This window comes from Homo sapiens, chromosome 2, assembly GCF_000001405.40.
Source record: "Homo sapiens chromosome 2, GRCh38.p14 Primary Assembly".
NCBI lineage: Eukaryota > Metazoa > Chordata > Mammalia > Primates > Hominidae > Homo > Homo sapiens.
Window position 1 is genome coordinate 47,753,310 of NC_000002.12, and position 9,435 is coordinate 47,762,744.

At 45.5% G+C, this 9,435-nt stretch overlaps 1 long non-coding RNA gene across 4 annotated transcripts; it reads left to right on the plus strand.

Annotated features, from left to right (window-relative positions):
* The first annotated feature begins 2,169 nt into the window (after nucleotides 1-2,169).
* Nucleotides 2,170-7,182, plus strand: LOC105374589 (uncharacterized). Of its 4 annotated transcripts, none has more exons than XR_940070.3 (3): nucleotides 2,170-2,338; nucleotides 4,380-4,484; nucleotides 6,898-7,182. It is a non-coding gene; the product is annotated as an uncharacterized LOC105374589 (long non-coding RNA). The 4 variants fall into 4 exon arrangements; XR_940067.3 differs by lacking the exon at nucleotides 2,170-2,338 and adding an exon at nucleotides 3,354-3,395; XR_940068.3 differs by lacking the exon at nucleotides 2,170-2,338 and adding an exon at nucleotides 3,354-3,395 and having other exon boundaries at nucleotides 6,952-7,182.
* Nucleotides 7,183-9,435: the final 2,253 nt, after the last annotated feature.

Sequence of the window (9,435 nt, forward strand, 5' to 3'; positions counted from 1 at the left end):
GACCAGCCTGGGTAACATAGTGAGACCCTGTCTCTATAAAAACAAAAAACATAAGATCACGCCACTGCACTCCAGCCTGGGTGACAGAGCGAGACTTGTCTCAAACAAACAAACAAACAAAACCCTGTAGTCTCAGCTACTTGGGAGAAGAAGGGAGGAGAATTGCTTGAGCCCAGGAGTTCAAGGCTGTAGTGAGCTGTGATTGCACCACTGCATTATAGCCTGATCTCACTCTGTCACCCAGGCTGGAGTGCAGTAGCACAATCTAGGCTCACTGCAACCTCTGCCTCCCAGGCTCAAGGGATCCTCCCACCTCAGCCTCCCAAGCAGCTGGGAACACAGGCGTGTGCCATCACACCCAGCTAATATTTTTTTTTTTTTTTTTTTTTAAGTAGAGATAGGGTTTCGTCATGTTGCCCAGGCCGGTCTTGAACTCCTGAGCTCAAGTGATCTACCTGCCTCAGCCTCCCAAAGTGCTGGGATTACAGGCATGAGCCATTGAGCCCTGCCAAAAAGATTCTTAATAGAATTACACCCACTTTCTGACAGTATCTAATCCAGAGCAAAGCCTGTTTCTTTGATCACTCCTCAAAATCACATAACAGAAGCCCAAATTCTTAATAAATTCATAGTATGCAGTTCTGCAAGTTTTGAGATACAATGTTTAATGCAAAGGGGAGGATCCCACTGGAATTACAGGAACCACAGCAGGGCTATTGGGAAGCTTTCTGTGTCTCTCAGATCTCAAACCTTTGTAGAAACCTGTTTGTGCTTAAAATGTGGGTGAGGAGTACTCATGAACTAGACTTATATATTTTGGATCAACACAAACTCCAATTAGGAATATGATATTTTCTGCCCCCCTCCCACTCCCACACTCCAGATTATCCTGAGAGAGTAATATGTTTAGTTGTATTGCACTAAGGAGAAAAAAAAAATGAAACTGCTCCAAGAATTATTAGTAGAGCAATGTCTGCCAATAATGATTGCTTCAATAATGGAGCCCAAAATAGAATGGACAAAAAATAAAGCTGTTGAGACGTCTACAGGTTTGGTTTCAGCAAGTGTCTGCCACTATTTAGAAGACATAAAAATAAACTTCGCAATGAGCAAGTAGTGTTTTATTTCTGTAGGGGAAGTATTTATCATTTAACCCATTTCCTTTCCTTTATTAAACACAAAGGCTGGACCCAGTGGCTCATATCTGTAATCCCAGCACTCTGGGAGGCTGAGGCAGAAGGATTGCCTGAGCCCAGGAGTTTGAGACCAGCCTAGGCAACATGGCAAGACCTCATCTCAAAAAATATATAAAATAAAATAAATTTTTAAAAAAGCAACAGGAAGCGTCTTACTCTTTTGGAAGATAACAGCGTAGAGTATAAAAATACATCTGAGCTTTGTGTACATGTGAAGCTATTTGGTCCATTGTAGCTAAAAGTTTGAATTTTGGGCTAATGTTTTGTTTATTTATAGGGTCGTGCACTATCGCCCAGACTAGAGTGCAGTGGCATGATCATAGCTCACTGCAGCCTCCAACTTCTGGGCTCAAACAATCCTCCTGGTTCAGCCTCCTGAGTAGCTAAGACTACAGGTGTGGGTGACCATGCCCAGCTAATTTTTTTTTTTTTTTTTTTTTGAGACACGGTTTCCCTCGGTTGCCCAGGTTGGAGTGTAGTGGTGCCATCACAGTTCACTGCAGCCTCAACCTCCCAGGCTCAAGCAATCTTCCCATTTCAGCCTCCCAAATAGCTAGGACTACAGGTGTGTACTACCATGCATGGCTAATGTTTTCATTTTTTTGTAGAGACCAGGTCTCCCTATGTTGCCCAGTCTGGTCTCAAACTCCTGGGCTCAAGAAATCCTTCTGCCTGGGATTCCCATAGTGCTGGGATTACAGGCATGAACCACCAAGCCCAACCTGATTTTTTAATTTTAATTTTTCTTTTCTTTTGCAGAGGTGGGGGGGGTGGGGGGGCGGTTCTCACTGTGCTGCTCAGGCTGGTCTCGAACTCCTGGCCTCAAGTGATCCTCCCAGCTTGGCCTCCTAATGTGCTGGGATTACAGACATGCGCCACCATTCCTGGCCAGGCTAATGTTTTAAATGTAAAATAAGAGTATTGATAGTCCAGACGTTGTGTTGCATTTTATTCTTCTGTGCCCATGGTCATTTCAGAAGGAACTTACGGTTCCTTGAAGCAGAAAGTAAATTTGCATTTCATAGTGAGTTGGAGATGAGAGCAAGCTGGGAACCCACAGCAGGGAGCGCTGTCTCCTTCTTCCCATCTTATTTTCTCAGGAACTTGGTGGATCAGGAAGAAGCCTCAGACTGGAGCCCATGGTAATTTTCCATTCTCCTGGAGACAGTATTCCTTGTTGCTATGCCTCTATAATGCCCCATATCTGCCTACGAGCAGAAGGAAATAATTATTTTCTTCTCTATGGCAGTGTTTTGGTTTTCATTCCTTACTGAGCTATTGTTAAGTCATGGAATTGTCAGGGGAAATCATTTTAATCTCTTTAGGGGTGTTTTACAAGCCCCTGAAGGTGATTCAAGTACATCCAGGTAATATTTCACTACTAAATTAGAGGATGAATGAGCTGTTAGAAAAACTCATTTGCTGTGTAACTTGACTGTCTCTATCTCTAGAGGTGGCCCCCAGCTGAATGCCTGGCTGACAGGCACGGCCTCCTCCCGGCTGGCTCCCCTCCTGCTGCCTTGGAAACAGCTGCAGCCCCCATTTTTGCTCTCCCCTGGCTCACTCCTAATCCCTGCTGCTGTCTTAACTGCTAACTGACTAGAGCTCTGGAAAACCACAGTGGGAGGGTTTGCAATTAAAGATATCAGAAAAACTTGTGAGAATCAAAGAGCTGCAGTATTGTGGTGGGATTATAGGCAGGGAGGCTGATGTTCTGCGGCAGGAGTAGGTAGCAAGGTAGATTGCTCCAAGGATCTTCACTTTGCTTTACCTGCTTCCAACCTGAAGAGCTTTCAGATTTTTTTTTAACTTTTATTTTTTGTCTATTCATTTTTTTTTTTTTTTTGGACACAGTGTCTCACTCTGTTGCCCAGGCTGGGGTGTAGTGGTGTGATCATGGCTCACTACAGCCTCGACTTCCCCAAGCCCAGATGATCCTCCCACCTCAGCCTCCCGATTAGGTAGGACTACTACAGGCATGCTCCACCATGCTTGGCTAATTACTTTATATATATATATATATATATATATATATATATATATATATATATATATTTTTTTTTTTTTTTTTCCAGAGACGGAGTCTTGCTCTGTCACCCAGGCTGGAGTGCAGTGGTGCGATCGCAGCTCTCTGTAACCTCTGTCTCCCTGGTTCAAGTGATTCTTCTGCCTCAGCCTCCCAAGTAGCTGGGATTACAGGTGCGTACCACCATGCCCGGCTGATTTTTTTTGTGTTTTTAATACAGACGGGGTTTCACCATGTTGGCCAAGCTGGTCTTAAACTGCTGACTTCAGGTGATCCACCCACCTCGGCCTCCTAAAGTGCTGGGATTACAGGCGTGAGCCATCATGCCCAGCCTGCCTGGCTACTTATTTTATTCTTTTTTTTTTTTTTTTTTTTTTTTTGAGACAGAGTCTCACTCTGTCATCTAGGCTGGAGCGCAGTGGCACAATCTCAGCTCACTGCAACCTCTGCCTCCCGAGTTCAAGCGATTCTCCTGCCTCAGCCTCCTGAGTAGCTGGGATTACAGGCACATGCCACCACACTCGGCTAATTTTTGTATTTTTAGTAGAGACAGGGTTTCACCATGTTGACCAGGCTGGTCTCGAACTCCTGACCTCAAGTGATCCACCTGCTTTGGCCTTCCAAAGTGCTGGGATTACAGGAATGACCTACCACACCCAGCCTGGCTAATTTTAATATACTTTTTTTTTTTTTTGAGATGGAGTCTCGCTCTGTCACCCAGGCTGGAGTGCAGGGGAACGATCTCGGCTCACTGCAACCTCCGCCTCCCAGATTCAAGCTATTCTCCTGCCTCAGCCTCCCAAGTAGCTGGAACTACAGGCGCCCACCACCACACCCAGCTAGTTTTTGTATTTTTAGTAGAGATGGAGTTTCACCATATTGGCCAGGCTTGTCTCGATCTCCTGATCTCGTGATCTGCCTGCCTTGGCCTCCCAAAGTGCTGGGATTATAGGCGTGAGCCACCGCACCTGGCCTAATACACATTTTTTAATAGAGACAGGATCTCCTATGTTTCCCAGGCTGTTCTTAAACTCCTGGGCTCAAGTAATCCTCCTACCTTCACCCCACAAAGTGGTGGGATTACAGGTGTGAGCCACTGCACCTGGCCTTCTGAAGCGCTTTTAAACTTGCAGGTTTTCTACTTTCCTACCTTCCAGAAACTCCTCCTACCCATGGAATCTGCCAGCAGTTGGATTCTTGACTATCTTTAGGACTTTTCCTAATCTCACCTTCTCCATCTGTGAAATGGAAATAATCAAAGGGTAAGCTGACTTGCAGTCCTGGTCGGGCCACTAATTGGAAAGGGTGAAGGGAGCCAAGATATTTCCAAAAGGTGGAAAAAGCCTTTTTTTTGGTAAGACAGAGTCACCCAGGCTAGAGTGCAGTGGCGCAATCTCGGCTCATTGTAACCCTCTGCCTCCTGGGTTCAAGTGATTCTAATGCCTCAGCATCCCAAGCAGTTGGAATTACAGGCGTACACCACCATGCCCAGCTAATTTTTGTATTTTAGTAGAGATGGGGTTTCACCATGTTGGCCAGGCTGGTCTCAAATTCCTGACCTCAAGCAATCCGCCCACCAAGGCCTCCCAAAGTGCTGGCATTACAGGTGTGAGCCACTGCGCCCAGCCAAAAAAGACTCGTTATAAAACTTTTTCCTTGAGAACCCAGAATTGAACAGTATGCTCTTGGAAATAATTATTAATGTATTCTGTTTTCTCAGAGCAATATGACAGAATCCCTGCTTTATTACCCTGACCCAATCAAAGCTCACAGATCAGAAGAACTGGGAAGAAACTCAAAGACCATTTAATTAGGGGCTCTCAATTCGGTTGCTCATTATAATCACTTACTGAGGTTTTTAAAAAACACCTTGCCCGAGCCTCAACCTAAGACCAGTTATTAATACATCAGAGTCTCTGGAGGGGGCCGGAGGCTACTTTTGCTAAAGCTCTCTAGGTGACTTCCGTGTCCACCCAGGGCCAAGCGCCATGGTTCTGGTCCAACAATCTCTAAACAAGGATAAAATAACCTGGGAAGGTTACATGAGTCAAACCAAAGTCTCATAGCAAGCCAGGTACCATGGCTCGCGTCTGTAATCCCAGCACTTTGGGAGGCTGAGGAGGGAGGATTGCTTGAGCCCAAGAGTTCAAGACCAGCCTGGGCAACATAGTGAGACCCTGTCTCTATAAAAAGTTTAAAAAAAAAGAAAGTAAGAAAATTAGCTGAGCATGGTGGTGTGCACTTTGGGAGGCTGAGGAGGGAGGATTGCTTGAGCCCAAGAGTTCAAGACCAGCCTGGGCAACATAGTGGGACCCTGTCTCTACAAAAAGTGAAAAAAAAAGAAAGAAAGAAAGCAAAATTAGCTGAGTGTGGTGGTGCACACCTGTAGTCCCAGCTACTCACAAGGCTCAGGTGGGAGAACTGCTCTAGAGACTGAAAGTCTTTTCCCCTTGTCTTGTTGCTTCTCTAAAAATTTATCGTTCTTTGTTGAAGATGTTATATAAGCTGGAATTGAAAGCCACCTCTCGGCATGGTGGCTCAAACCTATAATCCCAGCACTTTTGGAGGCCAAGGCAGGCAGATCACCTGAGGTCAGGAGTTTGAGACCAGCCTAGCCAACATGGTGAACTGGACTCCTGCCTGGGTGACAGAAGGAGACCCCATCTCAAAACGACAACAATAAAAGTCTTGTAGCAATAGGAGAGTATGGCTTGTGGCAGCTGTAGGGGAGGAAAATTATTTTTTTCCTCAACTCCCATAGGTTCTTGGTTGGAATGGACCCCTGTAATGAAAGACAGATTAACAAGAGAAAAACGAACAGAAGTTTATTAGCATGTATATTTCATATATACATGGGAAACACTCAGAGAATGAGCAGTTCTCAAAGAGGTGGCTTTCAATTCCAGCTTATATAACATCTTCAACAAAGAATGGTAAATTTTGGGCCAGGCATGCTGGCTCACCCCTGTAATCCCAGCACTTTGAGAGGCCAAGGTGGGCGGATCACTTGAGGATAGGAGTTCGAGACCAGCCTGGCCAACATGGTGAAACGCTGTCTCTACTAAAAATACAACAACTAGCTGAGCATTGTAGTGGCACCTGTAGTCCCAGCTACTTGGGAGGCTGAAGCAAGGAGAATCACTTGAACCTGTAAGGCAGAGTTGCAGTGAGCTGAGACTGTGCCACTGCACTCCAGGCTGGGCAACAAGAGCAAGACTCCATCTCAAAAAAAAAAAAAAAAACAAATTAGCCGTGCTTGGTTGTGGGTGCCTGTAATCCCAGCTACTTGGGAGACTGAGGCAGGAGAATAGCTTGAACCTGGGAGGCAGAGGTTGCAGTGAGCCAAGATTGTGCCACTGCCCTCCAGCCTGGGCGACAGAGAGAGACTCTGTCTCAAAAAAAAAAAAAAAAAGGATTGGTAAATTTATTTTTAGAGAGACAACAAGATAAGGGGAAAAGACTTTGAGTCTCCAGGGGTTACAACTTAGGGGAAGGCAAATAAATGGCAGATAAAGATAAGTTAGGAAAGCTTGTTAATTAGATTCTTCTGGAGCCATCTCTAGGCCCTTAAGGGTGTTAAGTTGTCTTCAGTGGTTAGTTAACCTTTGTCCTCCCTGATAGAAAGGTGGGTGCGGGATACGTTTTGTCTCTGTCTATGTACATCCTGCTTTTCAGTAAACACAAGGAGGGCAGAGAGTTCTCCTGCATCTGCTACTTTCTTGCCTTCAGCTCAACAATCCTTCTGTGAAAGAGGCATATTTTGTGGTGCTATGTGCTGATCTTCCACACAGCCAAATGGAGGCAGAGGTCACAGAGGAACTAGAAGGATGGAAAACTGCAGGAGAGTCTCGTTGCCATCACTCAGTCAATCAACCAGTTTTGGATACCTGCCATGTGCCAAGCCCTGACTGCAGTAAAAAGGATACCAAAATAAATTACTTACTGCTCTCAAAAAGCAAACCGTTTGCTGGCAGACTTGATCATATACCAATGACTGGAGGAAGGGGAAAGTGAGCTTTATGGTCAAAGACGTTCAATGGCAATATTTTATTTACTTATTTATTTATTTTTGAGACAGAATTTTGCTCTTGTTGCCCAGGCTGGAGTGCAATGGCGCGATCTCAGCTCACAGCAACCTCCGCCTCTCGGGTTCAAGCGATTCTCCTGCGTCAGCCTCCCGAGTAGCTGGGATTACAGGCATGTGCCACCACACCCTACTAATTTTGTATTTTTAGTAGAGACGGGGTTTCTCCATGTTGGTCAGGCTGGCCTCAAACTCCTGACCTCAGGTGATCCACCTGCCTCGGCCTCCCAAAGTGCTGGGATTACAGGCGTGAGCCACCGCGCCCAGTCTGGCAATATTTATAATAGTGGAAAACAGAAAACAATTGTTCAGTAGTGTAAAAGTTTTTTTTTTTTTTGAGATGGAGTCTCGCTCTGTTGCCCAGGCTGGAGCGCAGTGGTGCAATCTCGGCTCACTGCAACCTCTACCTCCTGGGTTCAAGCGATTCTCCTGTCTCAGCCTCCCGAGTAGCTGGGATTACACGTGCCTGTCACAATGCCCAGTCAATTTTTTTTTTGTATTTTTAGTAGAGACAGGGTTTCGCTGTGTTGGCCAGGCTGGTCTGGAACTCCGACCTGAGATGATCCACCTGCCTCGACCTCCCAAAGTGCTAGGATTACAGGCATGAGCCATCACGCCCAGACCAGAAATTTCTTAAATAAACACTAGCTTATATTTGTTACTGGAAAGGGGTCACAATTCAGACCCCAAGAGAGGGTTCTTGGATCTCACTCAGGAAAGAATTTGGGGCTGGACATGGTGGCTCACACCTGTAATCCCAGCACTTTGGGGAGGCCGAGGGAGGCAGATGACTTGAGGTTAGGAGTTTGAGACCAGTCTGGCCAACACAGTGAAACCCCATCTCTACTAAAAATACAAAAATTAGACAGGCGTGGTACTGAGCGCCTGTAATCCCAGCTACTTGAGAGGCTGAGGCAAGAGAATCGCTTGAACCCAGGAGGCAGAGGTTCCAGTGAGTCGAGACTGTACCATTGTACTCCAGCCTGGGCAACAAGAGCGAGACTCTATCTCAAAAAAAATAAATAAAAATAAAAGAAAGAAAGAAAGAATTCGGGGCGAGTCCACAGAGTAAAATGAAAGCAAGTTTATTAGAGAAGTAAAGAAACAAAAGAATGGCTACTCCATAGGCAGAACAGCTCCAAAGCCTGCTGGTTGACTTTTTTTTTGAGACAGTCACACTCTGTCACCCAGGCTGGAGTGCAGTACAGCTCACTGCAACCTCTGCCTCCTAGGTTCAAGTGATTCTCATGCCTCAGCCTCCCCAGTAGCTGGGATTACAGGTGTGCGCCGCCACACCAGGGCTAATTTTTGTATTTTTAGTAGAGGCAGGGTTTCACATTGTTGGCCAGGCTGGCCTCAAACTCCTGACCTCAGGTGATCCACCCACCTCGGCCTCCCAAAGTGCTGGGATTACAGGTGTGAGCCACCAATCCTGGCCTGGTTGACTATTTTTAATGGTTATTTCTTGATTATATGCTAAGCAAGGGGTAGATTATTTATGAGTTTTCCAGGAAAGGGGTGGGGAATTTCCAGAACAGAGGGTTTCTCTTCCTTTTAGACCATGTAGAGTAACTTCGAGTCATTGCCATAGCATGTATAAACTGTCATGGTGCTGGTGGGAGTGTTGTTTAGTATGCTAATGCATTATAATTAGCATATAATGTACAGCGAGGGTGACCAGAGGTCACTCCCATTGTCATCTTGGATTCGGAGAGATTGCGCCAGCTTCTTTACCGCATCCTATTTTATCAGCAGGGTCTTGGTGACCTGTATCTTATGACCTCCTGTCTTATCCTATGACTAAGAATGCCTGACCTCCTTCCAATGCAGCCTGGCAGGTCTCAGCCTCATTTTACCCAGCGCTTCTTCAAGATGGAGTCACTCTGGTTCGAATGCCTCTGACATGTTTACTTGATGCAATATTTTGGAGCCATTAAGCTCAGTTGTCCAAAGAGATTTTAATATCACAAGGAAATGCCCTCACTGTAAGTAGAGAAATCAGATATGAAATTGTACATAAGCTATGATCCTAAGTTAGATGCACAGACAAAAAGGCTAAAACACACCAAAATGTTAACAGGTACTGGGAACAGGGTACTTGAGTTGTTGAGAATGGGATGCTTCATTTT